The sequence below is a fragment of the Homo sapiens genome, chromosome 11, assembly GCF_000001405.40.
Source record: "Homo sapiens chromosome 11, GRCh38.p14 Primary Assembly".
NCBI lineage: Eukaryota > Metazoa > Chordata > Mammalia > Primates > Hominidae > Homo > Homo sapiens.
This window is the reverse complement of record NC_000011.10, coordinates 41,011,788-41,038,126: the sequence shown is the minus strand read 5'-3', so window position 1 is coordinate 41,038,126 and position 26,339 is coordinate 41,011,788. Positions and strand designations below refer to the sequence as shown.

Sequence of the window (26,339 nt, the reverse complement as noted above, 5' to 3'; positions counted from 1 at the left end):
TCTTGTGATTTGAATTGTTACGAATGGCAGCTGGCTGGGATTCCATTCCCAGTGTTTTTAGATTGTCTCGTAGACACAGACAACATGTTAGAAATAATAATTTTTGTGCATAGTTCTTCTGTGGTGGTTGGACGTTTTCGTCAGTGTTGACTGAAGAATAATTGAGCTTTAGGGCATATCATCTAAAAAATGTAAAACCACTCAAAAAGGAGGAAATAAATGTGGGTAAAAATCCAGGCAAACATGAATGCATACTTACAGACTGACCCAATTATCTATTTAGTGGGTGCTGCCTACACAGCCAAAACACCTAACTGGATAGATTAGAGGGAAGATTAAATTAAGTACTCCGAATTCAGGTGTACTTCAAATTAAAGCCAGTCCACTCACCTACTATATGTGTTATCTTGAGCAATTTAGCTTTTCTAAGTCTCAGTTTTCCTAACTAGAAAAGGGAATTTGTTGGGTTGTTTCAACAATTAAATGCAATTAAATGAGATAGTATGAGCAAATGTCTTAGTGCGTGTGTGTGTGTGTGTGTGTGTGTGTGTGAAAGGAAAAGAAGTAAGAAAGTTCAGCAAGCATGTATGCTAGATGGCCAAAAACACATAAAGAAAATCTAGGGTCAGGCACAGTGGCTCACACCTGTAATCTCACACTTTGGGAGGCCAAGGCAGGAGGATCACTTGAGCCCAAGAGGTTGAGGCTACAGTGAGCCATGGATATGCCACTGCACTCTAGCCTAGGTGACAGAGTGAGACTTGGTCTGAAAAACAAAACAAAAAAATAAATAAGAAAATTTGATCAATCACTTTCCATTGAGGCATTATCAGAAAAAAAAAAACCCATCAAAGATAGGTAATTGGGAAGAATGCATCTAATCAAGTGACAACCATGAATCAGGAGTTGATTTAGAAATATTTTCTAATTTAATTTATAATGCAACGAGTAGATAATATTTTGTTTCTCTTGTACAGAAAGGGGCAACCTGAGAGAAAAAAGCCTTTGATGGCCCAGCCTGCGTAAGGAAAAGTTATGAAAAACTTTTAAATGGATCAAAAAGATTACTGGGTATTTTGAGCACAAAACTAGGCATTGTTTAATTGGGTACCACTCCAGGTTATTTGCTTCTATTGTGTTTGAGCCTTTCATTGTCTTTGAGCTATCTTATAAGTCTATAAATTGTAAAAACAGTGATGCAAATGTTTTGTGCCCATAAATGTGCAATTGAATTCTTTCCTTTGAAGCAACAAATGATTTCTTGACCTTCCCCCGCTAGTGAAAAATCTAATTGTGTATCTAGTCATAAATTTATTTAACCAGTTCTGTTTGAATATATACGTGTGATACTTTGAAATCTCTTTTCAAACTACTGTGACATCATTTAGGTTTCCTTATTAATGAATGAATTAAATAAAATCTTTGACATTATTTTATATTTGTATTTAATTCATGATTTTACCTGTTTAAAAAATGCTTCCTTCAACACCTGTGTTGGTTGGTGCTGAATTTGAACCTCAGTCTGATGTTAAGACAAAGAGAAACAAAAATCTAATTTAAACTTCTTTTTCCACCAGAAGGAGAGCAGATTCCAGGTTATTATCAACCCTTTGAATTATTGAATCTTCTTGCATCAGCATAAATAGTTACAGGAACCCACTACAAAAGACCCTATGGGTTTCTTAAAATGAAGTAACAGTTCAAGGACATCTGGAGCTGAGAGAAAGGAAGAAAGTGAATGTAAATAATGATCAGAAATTCTGTTCCCTTTGGGTCATTATTCACCTTTCCAAGTCAATTTATCTGCTATAATGCCTTGAAAACACTTTTTAATCATTGCCTAGCATCTTAAAAAATCTAAGATATTACCTGAATTAAGTCAAAAACCCAGAATGAATTTAAGAATGAAGGCTACTTGAATTTCACATGCCTCTGAAATAATTACCAAAGAGTTTATTTCTGACCATAATTATTGAATAATTATTCACATTCCAACCCTCATAGAAATCTCTTACCTTCTGATATTTTTTGTCACCATGTTTTTTTTTTAGAAAAACAACAAAAGACAAAATTTTTAAAGGAAGTTTTAGCCAATTTCTCCTAAACGTAAATTCCAAGGAGTTTGTATAGTTACATTTCTATATTTCAAGAATGCAGAGTCCTCTAATGGGCTCTAATATTTATGAGTTTCCCTAATCTTAATTTTCTATCATTTCTCTTAACTGGTAAATATTTTGTCTTTCTGCCTACAGATAGTTTCAAGAATGTTACCACTATTTTACCTAAAGCATGCACAGATTACATTATTTAAATTAATATTTTAAATTCGAATTTCCATTCAATTCTACATATTTATTGTCTAAAAATACTTAGCTCTTTGGTTTCAGTTTCCTTATTTGTAAACAAGTAGATTTGGTTTAGAAAATGTATTATTCCCAATTCTAACATTTCAATTATTTTGATAATTGGTCTATATATGTGTGTGAGTGTCTATTCATCCTGCTTCACCTCAGTTACGCTCTCCCCAGAGTCCACATTTAAAATATCACAGCCATTAAAAGGAACACGATCATGTCCTTTTCAGGGACATGGATGGAGCTGGAAGCCATTATCTTTAGCACACTAACACAGGACCAGAAAACTAAACATCTCATGTTCTTACTTTTAAGTGGGAGTTGAACAATGAGAACACATGGTCACAGAGAGGGAAACAACACACATTGGGGCCTGTTGAGTAGGAGAGGGGATGCAGGGGGAGAGAGAGCATTAGGAAAAATATCTAATACATGCTGACCTTAATACCTAGGTGATGGGTTGAGAGGTGCAGCAAACCATCATGGCACATGTTTACCTATGTAACAACACAGGTGTTGAAGGAAGCATTTTTTATTTATTTATATATTTATTTATTTATTTATTTATGTATTTATTTATATTGAGATGGAGTCTCATTCTGTCGCCCAGGCTGGAGTGCAGTGGCACAATATCGGCTCGCTGCAAGCTCCACCAAAGGAAGAATTTTTTAAACAGGTAAAATCATGAATTAAATACAATTATAAAATACCTATGTAACAAACTTGCACATCCTGCACATGTACCCTGGAACTTAAAAATAAATTAAAATTTAAAATAAAAATAAAAACAAAATAACATAACAACAAAAAATAAAATAAAGTAAATAAAATACCAACGACCCCCAAAAAATCAAAATTACAATTATCAAACATATAGTATAAAATAAAACATGACAGCTTCATGAAACCATGAAGGAAATTTTGGATATACTTGTTCTCAGGCAATGTAATTAATATTAGAATATTTTTCCAATATAGAAACTGAGAACAAAAACTATGATGTGGCATACTTGACCACTATGAAATCAGACTGTATAGCCGCTATGCTCCATCTGGTTGGCTAAAAGAGAAGAGACCAAACAATCCATTGATACATATATATATATCATATATATATATAATAACTCTCACCTCATATATATATATATATATATATATATATATACGTCACCATATTTTTTTAGAAAAACAACAAAAGACAAATTTTTAAAAGGAAGTTTTAGCCAATTTATATTATATATATAAATATATATATACACACATATATTTTGTATATATATGTGTATATATATATATACACACATATATATATATGGTGTGTGTGTGTGTGTGTGTGTGTTTGGATTGTTCATATGTGTCTTAGTCTGTTTTCCATTCCTATAACAGAATAGCAGTGGGTAATTTATAAGGAATTTCTTTTTGTACAGTTTTGGAGGCTAGAAAGTCCAAGAGCACGCGTATCACTATCATCTTGTGAGGACTTTCTTGCTTCATAATAACATGGCAGAGGGTATCACAGGATGAGAAGGCAAGGCAAGTTGGCCAGGGAGAGCTTGCTTTCATAATAAAGCCACTCACAGGATAAAGACTTGTTCCTATGATAGCAACAGTAATCCATTAAAGAGGGCAGAGCCCTCCTTATTCCATTAATCCAAGTTTCCAACACATAAACATTTGGAGGACACATGTAAACCATAGCAATGTGTCAACAAAAATGATGACTTCGAAAATAAAGGTTTATTAATGCTAAAATAAAATAGAAATAAATACCTATCAACTCAATAACATCAATTTTACTAATTTGGTAATTTTCTTTTATTTTTTGTCATTCTTAAAAATCATAGATTCTAAAATGATTTGTAGGTTAAATTTTTCTCATTTACAGTGTTCACAGCCACAAAATTATGCCCAACTCTAAATTGTGTACTTTTTGACAAATTAATTTCAAAAGAAGTTTTGATAAAATACTTTCAATGTTTTTATTTCAAATATTGTATTTACACATTATCTTTAATGTGGGATATTGGTACATTTTAATGTGATTGATAAGATGTGGAGGACTTAGAAGAAATGCCCTAAAAATAAGTGCCTTGGCTTCCCCGGGTCTTAAAACAACTCTGGGCACTGCCTTTTACAAAAGTGCCTCCAGATTGGTTTGGATATATGAAACCAGTGGACAAATGCCCAGTTTGTCTGGGACTCAGAGGATTCCCAGGATGTGGGGTATTCACCAGAAAGTCTCAGGTGAACCAGGATGAAATGGTCACCCTGTATATAATTTTCTGGGAGCATCACGGGATAAGTGGAAGCCCAGTGATTTGGCTGAGATGTATCCCAGCTCAACCCTGTACCTTACTCATCCATAAGCTTGTGGCTGTCTGTGTTCTGATTCCTTCCTTATTGACCCGTTTCTTTTATATTGACTAGTTTTGCTTTATATTTTCTCTGTTCAGTGCTTAGGCATACCTGAGACTCTAGTTAATAACCATTTCACCTTCATGCTTGTGACTTCTTTCATCTTCCCATGTTCTAGTTTTTCAGACCAGTTTCACTATAACTAAATTCTGAAATGACTTCAGGATTTTTTTTCCTCAATATTCCCCTTGAGGAGCCTAAGCACGTAACAAGCCAGTTAGATCTCACTCTCATAGATTCTCCGGCCCTAGGATAATCATAAGAATGAGGTTGTGATTGGAGACAGAGACTAACAATTAAGTATGTAAAAAATAGACCCTTCTGTTTTAGAAAGTGTGCTGGTAATGTTTCATGGTATCAGCTAAGGATGAATATTTTTTCTAGTGCAAGAACAAGGAATGAGTTTTATAAAATGCTAATGAAAATGATGCTTTTTATGAAAATGATGCTTGTATGTTGATTATGACTGAATGAGTGAATAAGTTAATAGTTTACTTGGATCAACAAAATGAAATTATCTTCATAAATGCTTGATTAAAATGAGTAAAGCAAATGCATTCACCATAACTAATTTAAATTATAACCCAGATGTGAAAATTTATTGCAATGTATTACTGCTTGTGTTTTTTTTCCCCCTTTTTTCAGTTACTAAATGATTAGTGACATCTATAATATCTATTGAATAATAATAACTGGGTTCCCTTCACAGGCTACAGATTTTCAACATTTTAATATCTGTACTATAAAGTGACATTGGGCCAGTCAGACCCATTGATGAACCAATTTTGGAAAATATCATAAAATTTCCAAAGATTTTATTACAAGCAGTCAATATTGCAAATTATAAAACAATTTTTATCACAGTAGAAATGTTAAAACAATAGATCTAAAAAAAAACCACACACACAGTTGAAAGTTTTATCAAATCCTTCTCTGTTAGGGTTTATAGGGAACCTTCAGGTTGGGGTGAATTTTTCAAGGATGTTTTGGAATTACAAAGTTAGATGAGTGTTAATTGCATAATAAAAAAGAAACATCTAAGTTATTGCTTCCCAGAATTGTGATGTATATGATCTCAACCTAAAGATTCAGCTCCAAATACTCTTGACTCAATAAGCACAAATCTAACTCAGGCTACCCCATCAGGGGGTCTGAGATTAATCTGGGGCAGAAGGATTGGAATTGAGTCTGGAATGAACTCCTGGGTTCTCACAAGTCCATCAAACTGCAGCTTTCCCCAAAAATTCCCATTGTGTGTTTCACATGCCCAGGTTATTTTTTCCTTCTGTTTATCCCTGGTTTCCTTCCTTGAGCCCCAGCTCAACTGGAGAGCTCTCAACCTAGGTGGGCCTTGAACTGCTATGCCACAAGGAAATTTTGTGAAGACATAGGTTTTTGTCTCCAACCCTGGTGTACTTTTTTAACCAAAGTTATCACAGTACAACCTGCCTGTATCACCTTCACCCAGAGACAGCTTCTGGCATGTATCCAGAATCAGAACTCTGGCATGTTTCCATACCTCTGTAGATTGGGGAACAGCCCAATTTATGCTGCTCTTTCTAGAACTTGGCTACTTAGACTGATGATTTTCCAAATTGAGGTGCATATCTGTTGCCAACTGGCATTTGAATCCAAATTTTGCCTGATCTTAGCTTTCTCTTTTCTACCCACTGGATTTAGTAAGCATCCAGCATGTCCCAATACCGAGCTTGAATTGATTTTAAAATGGACCTGGAATAGTTTATTTTGTGCCAAGCTGCCACAGTGGGTAGTATAACATTCAGGGGACCTGAGTTATAACATTAGATCTATGATTTGTCCACTGAATGAACTTGTCAAGCAATATACACCCTGAGCCACTTTTTCATCATGCGTAAATTATAATCTCTAAAATGTCTGTTTTACAGTTTAAAGGATGTAACATACATAAGTAGTCTTTTGTACTGTATAATCATTAGATATTTTATTTTTATTTAGCAAAGATATACCGGGTGCCCATAAGAGATTAAGCACTACACTAGTGCTCGTCATACAGAAGTGAATTGGCACAGCCCTAAGAGTCTATAGTCCAGATAGGAAGCAGAATGGTAGCAGATGTTATCAATAACTATAGTAATGGTAGCTTCTGTAGTAACTGTGGGCCATTGCTCAACCTTCGGCCTTTTCAGCCACACTGTACAAATACCTACTAGCCATTTTAAATAAAATCAACTTCAGGTGGAGAGGCCTTCAGCTCTAAGCAGCCACGTGAAAGCAATAGCATGAGTTTTCTTAAAAGCTACTTGGTGTGAGCAGTATCTTGGACAAAGTTCTGCATTGGTAATTTATACCAATGTGTCTTACGTTTTCTTCAGCAAGCCTAATTAAAGTGAGATAAGGAAAAAGCAAGAGAGAAGCACAGGGTTTTCAAAGCCAGAAAAATTTTAGGAGGGCAAATGCATTTTTAAGTGGTTTTAAACCTAATAGCTGGCCTCATATATAATGAAAGTTTTAGAGTGTGTATAACTACATATATAATATATATGTATGTGTATATATATATGTGTGTGTATGTGTGTGTATAACAGTGCCCCACAGATTTATATACATACACATTTTATTTCTCATATTCTGATTTTGGTTTTGTTCCAAGTACACTTATGCATATTTTAAGTAAGAAATGTATCTTGAAATCAAACACGATGGTAGAAAACAAGGTCTACTATTTGAAAGGTTTCACCAAGCGGCTGATGATTTAGCTACTCAGTCTATGTCTTCTTACTGCTTTGTTGGTGTTCGATGGCAAGAAAAGAGTTATGATTGTCACTTTAGCATGTTCTATGACTTTTGGTTGGGAGGTTTACACAAGGTCTCTGGTGTTGTGAAACGCTCCCTCCTGCAATTCTGTCTAGGCTTTTGATACAGTGAAAGAAGGTCAGTCCCTAAGGGTGTCATTGAGGGTTATGATACAGGTCTGAACATAATCAAATGCAAAATTTCAGAAGCCTTGAGGATTTCTTCTGAGGCTTCTTGCACAGAATTACTCACCTATTTTCTCCCTTAGGTTTAATATTTTGACTCCGTTCTCTTGAGGAATAGCTGCATAGCTCTGCATGCAAAAATAATGAATGAAAATGCATAGAAAATATGTCCCATTGTTTTCTGCACAGCTCTGCCTTTTTCACTGCTGTTTTTCATATTTCAAGCTAGCAGTTACTTATTGCCAAAATTAATTATGCATATTTTTTCTTACAGCCTTTATGATAGATGGCAATTTAAAAAGAGATGAGCACTGAATTGCAAAATGTACATACCAAGTTAGTTACCTTTCTGGACGCTATTTTCCTTTTGAAGTTTGTTCACCCTGCAGTATCAAGCTTCCCTTCTTGGCCTGACAAATTTCTATTTATCCTTGGATGGTTCCCAAGAGTTATCTTTCTTATGGACCTATTTTCTCACTTTCTTCCTACATACCTTGGCTTGTGTTGGCTTCCTTGTGTTTTCCCGGACCATCTTTTCCACACTTACACCATTTATTCATTTACACATTATTTAAACAAGCGTATATTGAATGATTATAGTGTGCTAGAATATTCTATGTTGACATTACCTATTTACAATAGTCTTCCACACAGTTAAATCTCTTACATGCAGAGATCAAGTGCGATTTATCTTCTAATCTCCAGGTATCAGTCCTGTTCTACAAACAGTAGATACTTAATAAATATTTGTTGTTATGAATCACTGATAGAAGCTGCCGAGCAGTCTTACCAAAGCTAATGTAATTACAAGGTTAAATGAACCAACATTCTCTGTGTTACTCTTAAATCATTTGATCATTATAATTTGTAAATATAGTTGTATTCAAAATTGAATTGAACACATAGTCATCACAGAAAGTTAAAACTAAAAATGCTAGCAGTCTAAATGAAAATGGTAATGTCAGTGCTCTCAAACCAGCAGCTGTTGAGCAATATACCCCTTAGAATATATTTTGCTTGACTGATAGGCCCACATATTGTTTTAAAGGACATAAAACTAGAGAGGTGTTGTGCTTGTATAAGCCTATAAACAACTTATCATCCACTGCCTTACAGACTGCATATGCTATGTGTACACACCTTAAAAGTCTTTGAGTTTGGAAACTCCTCCTATCTGGTTTACAAAAATGCTACTACATGTAAAACCTGCTGCTTTGTCAGCACATCTATTCAATCGTAATGTAGTCGACTAGTTTGGGAAATATCTTAGCTACTAAAAACAGGCTTTTGCATCAACTGTACAAACCATGTCTTAGTTAAAATCTCTTTTGGATAAAACAAACAGCTAATTGTTAAAGTATTTCTGGCAGTGTATTTCATAAGTGCATAAGTATATGAAGACATATATACGTGAATGTATATACATATAAATGTGTGATGCTGAGTCTCATATCTGGATAAATTATCAATTTATCTTATAATCATGTGTCTACTCCACACCTTCTCTATGGACATCAGAGGAGGATCTTCTTCATCCCATAAAATAATTTATAGGAAAATAATATCTTGTTTCAGTAGAAAAGATCAAGTAATATATTTGCCCCCATGGGAAAGAAAAAAAAACATTCCAAGCATAAGGGAACAAACACATGAATAAAGAGTCAGAAAAGTAAAATTATTGGATAAATTAGCAACTAGTATGTTGAAAGACACTGGAGGAATTGAGGCCCTCTTCAAGGCTTTGAATGGCAAGGTGGAGTTTAGACTTGATCCTGTTTCATTCCCATTTCAGTGTGTGTGTGTGTGTGTGTGTGTGTGTGTGTGTGTCGTGAATACTAAAAATATGTCCTGTTTTAGAAAGGAAAGTGATAACATTGTGTAGAATAAATTTAAGTGAGAGAGAAGCTAAAGTTAAGTAGACAAGAGAAAATGAAATTGCAATAATTCTGAGGCGAAGCTGCTGGAAGTGGAAATAGAGCAAATAGATGGATTTTGAGAGAGTATACATTTGCAGATTAAATAGAAAGAAACATAGATTCTTACTATTTAATCAAAAGTCTATTTTGAAACCAAACTTTTCAAGACCTTGGCCCCATCTCTTTGCCAATGTTTGTAGAATATTTTTTTAATGCTTAGATTGATATTTGCTTATCTGAATATGCTGGAGTTAGTTACCAGGTTAGTTAGCATTTAAATATTTATATTTTAATCATAAAATATAGCTTTAAAAAAAAATGGATGATCCTTCCAGTTTAAAGAATGACATTTCTAGAGGGGATTACATTTGGTTAAAATAATTTTTGTTTATGTGAATTGGTTTCCTCAACAAATGGCATCCCTTTGTGCTAGGCCATGAGCAGGTCACAGTGGCTAGGAGTTTTCTTCCCTCATGCAGCCTACCTTCCTTATAGATGAGGATTCTCATCATTAACTTCTAAATTACTGTTTGAGTTTTAATTAATACTTTAATTTTTATACACTGTAGATTAAAAACACCATTCCAGTGGTACTTGAATGAGATAGCAACATGAAGAAAAACTAAATAATTCAAAACTATTAGAACTCTCTCTCAAGAGCAATTGTGAACAAAGAATACAATGCCCAATGCCTGGGTATTAAAATAGCAAATTCAAAAACTCCATGGCCCTCAACAATATTCACATTGGGTTATCAATATTCTATTACTCTGTCTTTAGGAAAATTGCCTAGACTATTCCTATGATTGTTGAATTTTAGTAAAATAGTTGTTTTCCTAGGAGAAAGTTACAACAAATAAATAAACTATATTTACTTAGCTGGAGGTTGATGATGCCTATGGAATTGTAACTGCATAAAAATGTTTTAACGTTAAAATTATTGTGATGATTTAACTTTTCTTATTAACTGTTGTTTGGTGACCTTATTAGTTGTCTACATCTACGACATATGAGTGCATTATTTCATAACCTTCTGAGTGCTAAGTTTTAGATTGTTTTTTAATTAGCATTTTAATTGCTCATCAGAGTAATTGAAGACTGAGTCAGAAAATGGAGCATTTGCTATTCCTTTGGTACCTGTCAACTCTAAGTTTTCCCAAGGTCAAGTACCCTCCGGTAGTACTAATACAAGCTTGCTTTGCTTTGAAATTTTTGACATGATATGACAATGCTTCGGCTATCATTTTTGAGAGTAGGGGATTTTTCTTCCTTCTTTTTTTCTAAGTCTTTATTTTAAAAATATAGTAATTGTATTGTTATGCAGTGAAATAATTAGAGACAAATAGAATATCCCCTGTGATCTAGGTTATGTCGAATTAGGCACTTGCTACATTATTATTTTTGTTACAAAACTACTTACTGAGTGCCTTCATGTGCTTCACAAGCACTAGACTAGCAACAAGTAAGATAAAAATTCTGACTATCAAGAGAAAAGAGAGAGTGTGCGTTTGGTTCCAGAACATTGCAATAAAGGAAGTATCTTAATAAATCCAGTTGCAAAAGAAATTTTTGGTTTCTCAGTGCATATAAAAATTATGTTTACATTATACCATAGTCTGTTAAGTGTGCAGTAACATTCTGTCTGAAAAAATTACATCCTAAATTTAAAAATACTTTTTTTTTTTTGGTAAAAAATGCTGACCATCTTCTGAGCCTACAGCAAGTCATAATCTTTTTTTGTAGTGGAGGGTCTTTTCTCAATGTCGATGGCTGCTGAATGGTGAAGGTGGTAGTTGCTGAAGGTTGGGGTATCTGTGGCAATTTCTTAAAATAAAGAAACAATGCAATTTGCCACATTAATTGACTTTTCCTTTTATGAAAGATTTCTCGGTGGCATGTGATGCTGTTTGATAGCGTTTTACCCACAGTAAAACTTCTTGCAAGTTTGGAATCAATCTGCAAACTCTGCCACTGCTTTATCAACTAAGTTTATGGAATATTCTAAATCTCAAGAAATCACCTTCTTTGCTCATACGTAAGAAGCAACTTCTCATTAAAGTTTGATCCTAAGATTGCAGCAACTCAATTGTATTTTCAGGCACCACTTTTGATTCTAATTCTCTTGCTTTTTCTACCACATCTGCAGTTACTTCCCTCACTGAGCTCTTAAACTCCTCAAAATCATCCATAATGGTTGGAATGAACGTCTTGCAGACTCCTGTTAATGTTGATATTTTGGCCTCCTCCCATGAATTGCAAATGTTCTTAACGGCATCTAGAATAGTAAATCCTTTTCAGAAGGTTTTCAAAATAGTTTGTCCAGATTTATCAGAGGAATCACTATGTCAGCTATAGCCTTACAAAATGTATTTCCTAAATAATAAGACTTGAAAATAAAAATTATTCTTTGATCCATAGGTTACAGAATGAATGTTGTATTAGTAGCCCTGAAAACATTAATCTCTTTGTATATCTCCTACCAGAGCTTTTGGGTGACCAGGGACATTGTCAATGAACAGTAATATTTTGAAAGGAATCTTTTTTTCTGAGCAGAAGATATCAACAATTGGATGAAAATATCAATAAACCATGCTGTAAACAGATATGCTATCTTCCAGACTATGTGGTTCCATTTATAGAACACAGGCATAAAACTTTGAAGCTTTGAAACTAGACATTGTCTTTTTCTCTCTAGCTATGAAAGTTCTAGATGGCATCTTTTTTCCAGTATAAGGCTGTCTCCTTGACACGAAATGTCTGTTGTTTGGTGTAGCCACCTTTGTCAATTATCTTAGCCAGATATTCTGGATAACTTGCTGTAGCTTCTACATCAGCCATCAGCACTTGCTGCTTCACCTTGCACTTTTATTTTATGGAGATGGCTTCTTTCCTTAAACCTCATTAACCAGCCTCCGCTAGCTTCAAGCTTTTCTTCTGCAAGTTTTTTTTTTTCTTTTTTTTTACCTTCAGGCCTTTATAGAAATGAAGACAATTAGAACATTGGTCTGGATTAGTCTTTCATTTAGGGAATGTTGTGGTTTGCTTGATCTTTTATACAGAGCACTAAAACTTTCCTCATATCAGCAATAAGGCTGTTTCATTTTCTTATCATTCATGTCTTTACTGGAGTGGCATTTTAATTTCCTTCAAGAGCTTTTCCTTTGCATTCACAACTTGGCTAATTGTTTGGCACAAGAGGCCTAGCTTTTAACATATCTATCTTGGCTTTCAACATGCCTTTCTCACTAAGTTTAATCACTTCTAGTTTTTAATTTAAAGTGAGAGACGTGCATCTCTTCCTTTCACTGGCAAACTTAAAGGCCATTGTAGGGTTATTAATTGGCCTAATTTCAATATTGTTTTGTCTCAGGGAATAGAGAGGTCCAAGTAGAGGGAGAAAGACAAGGGAACAGCCAGTGAGTGGAGCAGTGAGAACACACATTTATCTATTATGTATGCTGTCTTATAAGGGCTTGGTTTGTGGCACCCCAAAACAATTACAATAATAAGATCAAAGATCATTGGTCCCAGATCACCATAACAGATATAATAACAATGAAAAATTTAAAACATTGTGAAAATTACTAAAATGTGACACTGAAACAGGAAGTGAGCGCATAGTGTTGAAAAAAAAGTGGCACCAATAAATTTGCCCAACACAGGGTTGCCATAGACTTTCCATATGTAAAAAATTCAATATCTGCAAAGCACAATAAAGCAAAGAGTTATAAAATGAGATATGTCTGTAATCATTTATTTTATAGACGAAACAGGGAACTGTTTACTGAAATGAAACATAAATCAAAGATGCATCTACTAAATGGATCCTAAGATGAAGCCATATAATGCCGTAGCCAAGGGCTTAAATAAGACATAAGGTTGCTGAGGTGTGAATTTGAGCATTTTGACTTACTGCTATGTGATTCTTTTTGCACCTCAGTTACCTCAATGATGTCTGTAGATAAAGGAATGTGTCTTGGAAGACGACTGTGAGAATTAAGTGAATTAATATTTATAGAGGATTTAGAACCATCCCTGGAACACTTTAGTAACTTTATTATTTTGACAGTAAACACAAGATTAGCCCAGCTTTATATCTATAGTATGAACACCAAGATTCCATGGCAAAATTTGTGTCAAAAAATGAGCATGCTTTTATCAGTCCTGAAATATTATCCAGGTTATTCTTCTTGAGTTGAGCTGCGTAGCTACTGTTTTATCAGGATGTAAAAACAATTATATTTATTTCATATACCTGTTCTTGCCCACTGGCTAATATTACATTATATCTTTACACAGAGTGTTGAGGAAACTAACATCTATATCTAGTATCTACACTTAGATAAGAAATTAACTTGGATGCCGTTTGGCTTTCAGAAAGGACTATCTATATAATTTGGATGATAAGGTAGTCACAAGCAAAATACTGAATTATTAAAGAATTGATCTGAACGCAACTAGAAAAAAAATGTTAATTGCTTGTCCAGTTTGATTATATCAACACAAGCCAAGCACCTGACAAAGTAACAGGAGATAAATGATGAATATTCCATTAGTTTGTCCCGAACAGCAGATCTGGTTTGGGGACTGCAGAAGAAGCTATTTTCGTATCTTTTTTCTAAATTCCAACTTTTGTTTTTTTCTGCTGCTCAGGCCATCAATCCCTTGTCCCTACAACGTAGTCCTCAAGATAAGTACAATATTTTTCAACATAAGCAATTAATTTTGTCTCAATCCTATGTTAGGTGTGACTTAAAGGATCTTTGGAAAACTTCACTATCTTTTTTTAGATTGATTTGTAACACGCAATCTGAATAAGTGTATTTGCTGTGCAAACATAATTTTAATATATTCTCCTGGCTCTCTTCTCCCACCTTATCACTGTTCCTAAGCTCCTTATGCCTAGAAATTCTGGAGCTGCTCTGCTGAGAATGTTATTCTGTCCATGGGAAAATATACTACAGGGATATTTTTTTCCAGCATATGTCATTTAATTGTTAGAGCTTTATTTCATTTTTCAACTTTTATAATTTAGAGATAATGCTTTATCCCATTTAATTCTTTTACCATGGATGTGATTTTGTTGTTGCTTGGATTTCTCTTGTATACTCACTTTTAGTTTTATTCTGAATCTTAATATAATATTTTGTTTGCAGTGAGACTCCTACCAACTGCATATGACTGAATATTGATTTGACCAATATAACAATACTTGTCTTATGTTAGGAGGGTTTGTTTCTCTATTTAAATTTGTTAATATGATTTATATATTTTATCTTATATCTTTCAAGTTTTTAAGTGTCCATTTGTAGAACCAGTAAAAGACAGGGCCAGGGCTTGACATTGGGTTTCCTAATGATCTTGGTGATGTTCTCTTATGTCCTTCTATTTATTTTATTTTTCAATAAATTAAAATGTGCTTTAGGCTTTACATAGCTAGAATGTAGAGTTAAGATACATAACTTTGAGTTCATCAGCATCTCCTTCTGGATTTTTACATACAGATTTGTGAGTTAGTGATTTTCTGTGAGAAAGTGCACTGGCACTAACCTCTGACCTATGAGAATTTATGACTATCCATGTCTTCTGCAGTTCATCATTTTTCCACTCTGGCAGAAGAGTGTTCTCTTCGTTTTGAGGCATTTATAGCTTCTAAAATGTATTTTCCCAGTTCATCAAGTTGATGATGGGGGAAAAGTTGCATTTCTGTGTTTAAAATCACAAGTAAAAAAACTCTTCAGTTGCTTTCTTAAAGTATTCTTTTCCTAAATTTGAAATGCCCATCATTTTGGTCCACCAAAGCTAGACCAGTATGACCATTGACAGGTTACCCACATGTACAAACAACTTTTTGTCTTCTGATGGAAACAGGATGTGTACTATTATATCAGGATTTTTTTTTCTTCCTGGTACTAGCACATGACCTAACACCCTGATGTAGGTCTAATTTACATAATGATATACCATCTCCATCCTGAAAAGGGCTTTGAGGTAAACCATCATGGACCTTTCTGTAGCCCTCGAAACACATAGTCCAGCTAGCTCAAAGTTCTATGTAAAAGGCAAATCTCCTTGCTTACCCTAACCCAGGTACTGCCAGAGCACTCTAATTTTCCTCAGATTAAAGGTTCAGTTTTCTTTTCTTCTTTTTTTTATTCTAAAGTTCACTTTTTTTAAAGATAAAAACTAAGACTCCCAGAACCTAATGTCAACCAATGTTAATCTTGATAGTTTCCTTCTACATGTTCTGATCATATATATACACTTATATGTTCTGTATATTCAGTAAGATAAATTGCTGTCAGTAGATATATACATATATATATATATATATATATAAAACAAAATTGTAAGCTCATAAAATTAAAGTTAGCATAAGCATTCAGGAAGACATTCCTATGGAGAGAGTCCAGATAAGAAATGGTGAATATCGATTCAAGTCAACATGGATTATCTCACCATATACTGTGTACTCAGCACTGTACTAGCACCATGGAGATAAAACAAAACAGTTGATTTTCTTTCAAAAATTTCAATGCAAAGTATTGACGCAAGGAAGCCCTTATTAGTGAGAATATATGAAACTACTGCTTAAAAGATTCTATGTTTATGATGTGGTATACTATCATAAAACTTACTACATAATGACGATATGACACCTTCATGCATATAGAGGGGTGTGGGGAGGGGATGTTTTGTAAAAGAATACTTACTTCTGAGGTTAGTCACATAGAGACAAATTCTGTGTCTCAGGCAGAAAGCAAGACTTTTAAAGGGTTGACCTTGGTGGGATACAATTTGGAGATTTTTCTTTCGTTATCTGAACCATAGTATTAGCATAATTTCTCAAAAGGCATTCATGGGGGCTGTATCTTGAGATAGAATATCTAAAATGGTGGTGATATAATAGATTTGAACGTTATAAAGTAGGTAATTTGAGTTTTGTGTATTAACCTCTTATCAACCAGCTATCAAATGGCATTAAAATCTTGCATCCACTTAGGGTTTAGTATATATCTTTGAAATATTTCACTCTGCCTCATTAGTGTTTAGGGAAGTCTAGTGTAGGGTTTTTTGTTAATTTTGTTCTTGTTTACATTAGAGCTATAGGAAAGGAGAACTCTAGAGCTAGAATAGAGGTGAAGGTGGCAAAGGAAGAGAATCTCCAGGATCAGCTTTTTTTTTTTTATTTCTTGGAGATTTTCTTTTCAGGAATAAAAGTTGGAGATGCTGAATTAAATTTTCTTAAACACACACACACACACACTCTCTCTCTCTCTCTCTCTCTCTCTCTCTCTCTCTCTCTCTCTCTCTCTCTCTCTCTCAGATGCACGATTGGGAACAAAATAACAGGGACTTTGTCCCCAGAGCTTACATTTTACTGTGAGAAACAAATGGTAAATAAATAGCCCAACAGTTACTTAATTATAAATTGAAATGAATGCTGTGAAGGAAAAGGTTAGAGAGCAAGTGATGCAAATCAGCCTCATTTATTTCAGGAGATCAAGGAATTCTTATCTGATAAAATGACATTTCAGCTGAGGCTTGACAGATGAGTAGGATTTTTAACTAGGCAAAGAATAGAAGACAGAATATTCCCGGAAGAGGAAACAACACATTTAAAGGATTTGAGGTGAGACAGATACCATGGATTAGATTAGCTGATGAAAACCCAAGCAACTTGGAAGTCCCAACTAAAAGAAGAACAGAGTGAGATAGGGTTAAGCACATAGACAGGTGTGTTAGTTTCTTGTGGCTTTTTAAACAAAGTACCTTACAGGTGGCTTAGAAAAACAGAAATTTGTTCTCTCACATTTCTGGAGGCTGGAAGTTGGAAATTACGGTGTTGGCGGGTCCATGCCCTTGCTCCTAGCTTTGGGGGGCTGCTAGCAATACTTGCCATTCCTTGACTTGCAGCTGCATGACCTCAATCTCTGCTACCATCTTCCCTCTGCATGTCTGTTTCTTCACATAGCATTCTCCTCTATGTGTTTCTGTCTCTGTGTCTTCTCTACTTACAAGGACATCAGCATATTGGATTAAGGACCCACCCGTTCCAGTATGCTCTCATCATAATATGCATTTTAATTAAATATGCAAAGACCCTATTTCCACAGACGATCATATGCACAAATTCCAGAGGTTAGTGCTTTAGCTTAGCTTTGGGGATATATTAATAATTCTACCTACAACAGCAGGGTCCATAAGTCCTCATGAGAAAATTATTGTTTTATTCAGTAAAAAGCCATTAAAATGGTTTAAGGAGAGAAATTCTGTGATCAGACATATTTTGTACTATATAATTCCATTCACAAAACAAATTGGAAACAATAAAACCATTAGGGGAAAAATCAATCCAGTAGTTAGTTGTCAATAGTTAAAAGTAGGGGTTTGGGCAAAGATTTCATGACAAAAATGCCAAAAGCAGTTGCAACAAAAGCCAAAATTGACAAATGGGATCTAATTAAAAGAGCTTCTGTACAGCAATAGAAACTATCATGAGAGTGAACAGGCAACCTACAGAATGGGAGAAAGTTTTTGCAGTCTACACACCTGACAAAGGATTAATATCCAGGATTTACAAGCAACTTAAACATATTTACAAGAAAATGACAACCTCATCAAAAATTGGACAAAAGATATGAACAGACACTTCTCAAAGGTAGACATTTATATGGCCAAAAAAATGTGGAAAAAAAGCTCAGCATCACTGATTATCAGAGAAATGCAAATCAAAACCACAGTGAGATACCATCTCATACCAGTCAGAATGGCAATTATTAAAAAGTCAGGAAACAGTAGATGCTGGTGAGGCTATGGATAAATAAGAACGCTTTTACACTGTTGGTGGGAATGTAAATTAGTTCAACCATTGTGGAAGACAGTGTGGTGATTCCTCAAGGATCTAGAGTCAGAAATACCATTTGAGCCAGCAATCCCATTACTAGATACATACCCAAAGGAATATAAATCATTCTACTCTACAGACACATGCACATGTATGTTTACTGCAGCACTATTTACAATAGCAAAGACATGAAACCAACCCAAATGCCCATCAATGATAGACTGGATAAAGAAAATATGGTACATATACACCATGGAATACTATGCAGCCATAAAAAGGAATGAGATCATGTTCTTTGCAGGTACATGGATGAAGCTGAAAGCCATCCTCCTAAGCAAACTAACACAGGAACAGAAAACCAAACACCACATGTTCTCACTCATAAGTGAGAGTTGAACATTGAGGACACATGGACAGAGACGGGAATAACACACACTGTGGCCTGTTGCGGGGTGGGGGTGAGGGGAGGGAACTTAGAGGACAGGTCAATAGGTACAGCAAGCCACCATGGCACATATATACCTGTGTAACAAACCTGCACATTCTGCACATGTATCCCATTATTTTTTAGAAGACATAAGGAAATAAAAAACAGTAGGGGTTTAGGATGGAGTACAAAGGGGCACTAGACAATTTGAGGGATGGAAGTAAATATTCTATATCTTGATTGTAATAGGTTTGTAAATGCTTATAGATGTGTACTCCTAAAAAGGGTAAATTTTACAGCATATAAATTGCACCTCAATATCAAAGAAATAATGAGAATGAACCCAGTTTCAACCCGAAAATGGTCTAGTTAAGAAAATTTTGCTACTTAGCTTAGGGTGGCAACAAGCTCCTAGCATTCACCACCACGCAGAGTCACCTGCATTGGAATCTGGTATTAATCTGTCAGCTCATTCCCACTGTGGCAGTTTGCTGAAAATAGCTTTTGGTAGCAAGAGAGGTGAAGAAAGGGGTTCCAAACCTGGAGCATATGCCAAAGGAGTGCCTTTGTAGAGGTTAAGGGGCCTTGGTATCAACAATAGAGAAGACAGGAATTGCACAGATTTCTCAAGAGTTTCTTCTGCTCAAAATAATCAAGGAGAAATAAAATGAAGATGCCGACAAAGGAAAATAAAAAGCTGAAATGAGAGTCCCACTGTCCTATTACGAGTTGTAAGTCAACCTGCTGGGTTGTGCTGAAGAGAAATTGGAGACTGCAGGGAGTAGTCTCCCCCATCCCCATCCCTGGTGGTTGTCAAAAAGTAGCTGGAGAAATCTACACTTCTGTAGCTGTGTTTTGCAATTTAAATTCTCTAAGAAAGATTTTGGTGCTGATCTAGAAGTGTTTAATTGACAAAAAGAGAAAAGAAACTTGCAAAAACAAGATGCTCTAGAACACGTGAATGTAAGCATTATTTTTTCTAATTGTAGTCACTTAAGCTAATAGTATATTTTATTTGGGGCAGGGAAGATTTTTCTAACTTATTTTGGTTAAAAAGAAAATATTATTTTTAAATTTGCAGTCTTAATGGGAGAAATAAATAACTAGCATATTTTCAATTTATTTTATTGCCCCTGGTCCATGGAATAAACTAATCTTTGAGAAAACATTGTAGAAATAATGTTGAGCCCATGGGATGGATTATCATCTTGAAGACCATTTCTATTAAGAACAAACATACTAAGGACGCATTAAAAATCCCTAGCAACTTCAGACCTCAGCATAATAAAAATCCAGAGCTTAATTATAGTTCTGTGAATTAATAAATAAGTGATCTTGTGCAAGTTAATATAGCTCTCTTAGATCAGATATCCTCTGTGTATTTTGCCATATGTTTTATATATTATATATACCCAAATTATTAATATATATTATATATATTCTGATTAATAATTTGAGTATAAAGATTATTCTATATAGAGCACTTAATAATGTCTCCCAGCTTTTCTTTCCCAATCTTTCTCTCCCTTACTTTTCTCCATAGTAGTATTATATAGCACATAATATTGTGTATTTTTCCTATCTCTCTAAAACAGAGTGTAAGAACCATGAGGAGAATAATATATTTACTGCTATAACCTCGGTCTCTAGATCAATGCCTGGTAATTGACACTGATTAAACAATTGTTCAATTAATGAACAAATGGACAAATGATTATTAGCAATAATACTATCCTCTTTCCGTGGTCAGTAGTATGTAAGATAACAAAGTGTGAAGTTTCTCAGCATTGCAATTTTGTAGATGTTCCTTGGATATAATCAAAGGCTTTGCCTTAGGTAAAAGTGAAAATAAAAGCTTCACAACCTTGAATTGGATGAAAACTTGTCCATGCCTAATCAAATGAATATAACAGAAATAAAAGATATCAGTAACTGAGAAGTGGTTGCAAAGCCTCTGATAGCATCCTGACCCAAATGTTTGTTCAACTACTTTACTTTGGACATTGCCTAATCCTCCAAAATATAAAGATATTTGTGAATAATGGAATAAGAACTTGTGAAATAATTTTATTTTTGCTCTTGTTCACCATAAGAAAGAAACAAGTCCTTAGTATCGGACAGAGTGAAATGCTCTCTTGATTTCAAATTCAGTCTCAGGTATCAACTGATCCTACCCCTGGAGAAAAAAATAAAAATACTTTACTCATTCATTGTTTTGATTGATATACACTAAAAAATTATCCGAGTTGTATGAGTTTGGCATTTCTGAAAATCCTTCCAATTCCTTCAAAAATGGCCACAATTTATTGGTATGTTTAATTAAATGGCACCTAATGATGCCATTTCTGGAGACTGTTAGGGGCAGGTGTCTCCTCTGGAAGAAAATCAATTCAGAGGACAAAAAATGTAATTCTGGTAATTTTCAAATCTTTCAGAGTCGAGTGAGCTAGTACAGGGAACACAGGGATTTAACCTCTGATTCTCCAGGCTGAAAACCTCTCTGTGTTCACTCATGATTATTGAAGCAAATACCCAGAGTATGGCCTTGACATCTCATGGCTGAACTGGACCTGCATCCTCTAGGATTCACTACTGGTACAACGCTCTAATAATTCCACCTGAGTGTCATGTTGCTATGAAAAGGACAATGTAAAGGACTAAAGACATTTGTAGCAAATAAGATCGCAAAAGGGAAAACATCTGTTCAAAGGCCTATTGTTTATTTGTGGTTGGGAAAGTAATTAAATCAGATTCTGTTCTTCCTTATCTGTTTTACTCTTCCTTATTAGTTACACAGTATATAAGATATATTACTTTAGAAATGCATGCTGTTGTTTTTTTCATTCTCATAGGCATCCCTGCTACCATGGTCTTTTTCCTTGGTAGTGCCACTCTCCTGTCATATAGTTTTCCAAAAATATTATCTTCACTCTTGCCTAAAGGGAATTGAGATACAGAAATGCATTAAACCCTTATGTGATTTCTTCTTATTTTTTTAGAAGAAACTGTCCTGAAGAGAATGCTATGGGCTAATCATTTTTTTTTTCTATACTAAGACAAATGTGTGTTGATTTGTTTAGATCTCTTTGCATTTATACAAATCATTTTCCATTTACTGCTTTCCTCCTTTTTTTCTTTGAAAATATAGATTGAGTTTGCACTCCAGCTACATATTCTTGATACTTTTTGTTGTTGTTGTTGTTTTTTGAGACGGAGTCGGAGTCTCGCTCTGCAGCTCGCCCGGGCTGGAGTGCAGTGGCGCGATCTCGGCTCACTGCAAGCTCCGCCTCCCGAGTTCACGCCATTCTCCTGCCTCAGCCTGGGACTATAGGCTCCCGCCACCACGCCCGGATAAATTTTTTTTTTCTTGTTTTTAAAGGAGAGATACTCCAGGTCCATGTATGCTGTTGCAAACAAGAAAGTTTCTGAGCACTACTGGTTTTAAAATTGCAAGAGGATCTCCCCCAAAATTTAATTTTCCACTTTGACGCATTTGATATTTTTTTCCAAATTTAAATTATATGAGTACCTCAGATCACTCCCTTAAAACACAGCTGCATGTCCTCACTGACATAAATACCTACAGATTATCAGGCCCGGCTCAGTGGCTCACGCCTGTAATCCTAGCACTTTGGGAGGCCTAGGCAGGTGGATCACCTGAGGTCAGGAGTTCAAAACCAGACTGACCAACATGGTGAAACCCTGTGTCTCCTAAAAATACAGACTGGTGTGTGCCTATAATCCCAGCTACTCAGGAGGCTGAGGCAGGAGAATTGCTTGAACTCAAGAGGTAGAAGTTGCAGTGAGCTAAGACTGTGCCACCACACTCCAGCCTGGGCAACAGAGCAAGACCCTGTCTCAAAAAAATTAAACATTAACAAAATTTTAAAATATATAAATAAATACCTACAGACTGTATAAAAAGGTCTTTCAATAACATTATTACATCTTTGTTATTGACAGTAAGTAAAATATAATAGTGTGATTGTAAATAAAATATAATATTTTAAATCTAAGAGAGTTGGTGGACTCCTAAAATGTTCATTCTACATTAGCCATTAGAAAAAAATTAGTACATTTAAACTAGAGAATGTTCAGATATGAGCATTTTTTCTGGCTTAGAAACTAGCTAGATTATCGTCCCAGTCTATTGTACTGCATGACAGTGCACATTTAGTCCTAAGTCATTTAAAATTTCTTCACTTTACTAAAATAAATTGCTCGTAATCTTTTGGTGGGTTGTGCACTGGACTTTGAGTCAGAAAATTGAAATGGTAATTGAATGTTGGCCCTGCCCTTGTGCTAGTTACGTGTCTACATCCGAGTTTCCTCAACTAAAAATGAAAACGATCTTTTTATCTAGGGTAACCAATGCATTCATTACCCCAGGACTTCTCTGGCTTCAGCCCTGAAAGTCCCACCGAGGAGACTGATCCCCCTCCATCCCAGGCAAACCAGAATGATTATTTACCTTACACTTTGCCCTGGTCCACAGACTTGTGGGAGGATAAGTATATTAGACAGCCCTTTTTGAACAAGGATAGTCCCTTCATCTAGAAGGGATTAAATACGTATTTGGCAGGCTTATTGTCAAAGTATGTTTATGAAATGTGTGGGCCTCCAGGTTTATCTTCCATTATAACCAACTATGTTTTCTACAACATCATGGTATCCAATAAAAACCTGTAAAAATCTTGGCTCAGAAAAAAAAAAAAAAACTGCAATAGAAAAAAATAATCTGTACTGTGATCAACAACACACATGCACTGTGCTCTTGGTACCATTTATTGCTTCCTATTTTAGGCAGACCCACCTCACTATGGAGGAGGAGATTCTTTGGAGGCAACTAGACCTGGGTTGGAATTTCTGGCCTGCTACTGCCAAGGTCAATAACCTTGAGAAATTTACTTATACCTTATATAATCCCAGTATTCATATGTGTACCCACCGAAATTCACACATTGAAATACTAACCTCCAAGGTGATGGCATTAGAAAATGGGGCTTTGGGGAGAAGATTGAATCATGAGGGTGAAGTCATCATAAGTGAGATTAATGCCTTTAGGAAAGAGGCCCCAGAGAGCTTCCTTGCCCCTTCCACCATGCATAGATGAAGCAAGAAGGTGCTGATATGGTTTGGATCTGGGTCTCCACACAAATCTCATGTCAAGTTGTAATCCCCAGTGTTGGAGGTGGGGCCTGGTGAAAGGCGACGCGGTCATGGGGGTGGATCCCTCATGGCTTGGTGCTGTCCTCACAATAGTGAATGAGTTCTCTCAAGATCTGGTTGTTTAAAAGTGTGTAGCACCTCCATCTCTCTCCCTCTTGTTCTGGCCTGCTTCCCCTTCACCTTCCAACATGAGTGTAAGTTTCTTGAGGCTTCCCCAGTCATACTTACTGTAGAGTTTGCAGAACTGTAAGCCAACTAAATTTCTTTTCTTTATAAATCACCCAGTCTCAGGTATTTCTTTATAGCAGTGTGAGAACGGACTAATACAGGCATCATCTATGAGACACCAGACAGTGATCTTACTGACACCTTGATCTTGGACTTCTCAGCCTCTAAAACTATAAGAAATATGTTTTTCTTCTTTATAAACCACCCAGTTTATGATATGGTTATTATAGCACCCCAAACAGACTATGACACAATATTTAGTAAAAATTCAGGGTTTTTTCTTTGAAGACTGTAAGACAGTGTCTATAAGGAACATACGTCAGCGCTAGCCTCACAGATTAGTTTTATCAAAAAGATGTCTATGTATTCATATTATCATTAATAATTGGGAGAACAGAAAGCCAGTCATTGATATTTGTAGTAGTTAAGCAGTGAAATTTACAGCTCAAAGGAGAACTCAAGTCACTGATAAGAAAAAAATAAATGCCCAAAATTAAAAACGTGCCATTTTAAAGCTAAGTAAAGACACAGGTTAAAAGCAGTGGATACAATGAGTAACTAGATGTTAAAAGTGAGTCCACGGATTCAGTTAAGCTCAATAGCTCAATTGCTAGGCACTGAATGGTTTGCCTGCTTTTTCAGTTGAATTTCACTGGGCAATCTTACGTGAATTCCTGTCCCCAAAGGAACTATGTGACTCTGTAATTACCATTTTCACCTACATTGTCTTCCTTAAAACAATCCTGTGAATTATGTATTAAGTGCACAAAGTGAAGAGACAACTCACAGAATCTTCAGAAATATGGGTGAACTATCCATATGAAAAAAGATTATTAACCAGAGTATATAAGGAGCTCAAACTCAATAGGAAAAAAAATCTGATTTTAAAATGGGCAAAAGGTCTGAATAGACAATTCTTAAAAGAACACATACAGATGGCCAATAGGTATATGAGAAAATGTTCAGTACCACAAATCATCGGAGAAATGCCAATTCAAACCACAAAGAGATATCATCTCACCCCAGTTAAAATGTCTTCTATAAAAAAAGAGACAAGGAATAATGGATACTGGTGAGAATGTAGAGAAAAAAGAACACTCATACACTATGGTGAAAATGTAAATTAGTTCAGCCGCTATGTAAAACTCTATGGAGGTTCTTCAAAAATCTAAAAATAGAACTACCATGTGATGTAGCAATTTCACTACTGGGCATATATTCAAAAGAAAGGAAATATAGATACTGAAGGGATATCTGCACTCCAACCTTTATTGCAGCACTAATCACAATAGCCAAAATATGGAATCAGTGTAAGTCCTAATCAGTGGATGAATGGATAAAGAAAATGTGATATATATATACACAATTGAATATTATTTGGCCATAAAAAAGAATAAAATATTTTCATTTTCTGCAACATGGATGGAACTGGATATCATGATATTAAGTGAAATAAGCCAAGCACAGAATAACAAATATAACATATTCTCACTCTTATGTGCCAACTAAAAAAGTATATCTTATGGAGAGAGAGTAAACTGGTGGTTAACAGAGGCTGAGAAGGGTAGGGGAAAGAAGAGGATAAAGAAAGATTAATTAATGGGTATAGCTATAGAGTTTGATCAAATAAATAAGAGCTACTATTTGACAGACCAGTAGAGTGACTGTAGTTTACAGTAATCTATTGTACATTTCAAAATAGGTAGAAGAGAATAATTAGAATGTTTCTAGCATAAAGAAAGTATGAATATTTATGATGATGGATATCCCAAGAACGCTGATCTTTACAAATTATAGGATTATATTTAATTATCCCATGTCCCTGAAAAAATATACACATCTATTAAGTATCAATAAAAAAAAAAACCCAGGAGGCAAAGGTTGCAGTGAGCCAAGATCACACCACTGCACTCCAGCCTGGGTGACAGAGTAAGACTCCATCTCAAAAATACATGTAACATAATATAATATAATATAATATAATATATAACATAGAATGATTTTTTTTTTAATTTTAAGTGC

The 26,339-nt window shown here is 35.1% G+C and overlaps 1 protein-coding gene across 17 annotated transcripts in view; it reads left to right on the top strand.

Annotated features, from left to right (window-relative positions):
- LRRC4C (leucine rich repeat containing 4C) overlaps window positions 1-26,339 on the top strand; it is a 1,345,454-nt gene that overhangs the window by 421,526 nt on the left and 897,589 nt on the right. The window lies entirely within an intron of this gene.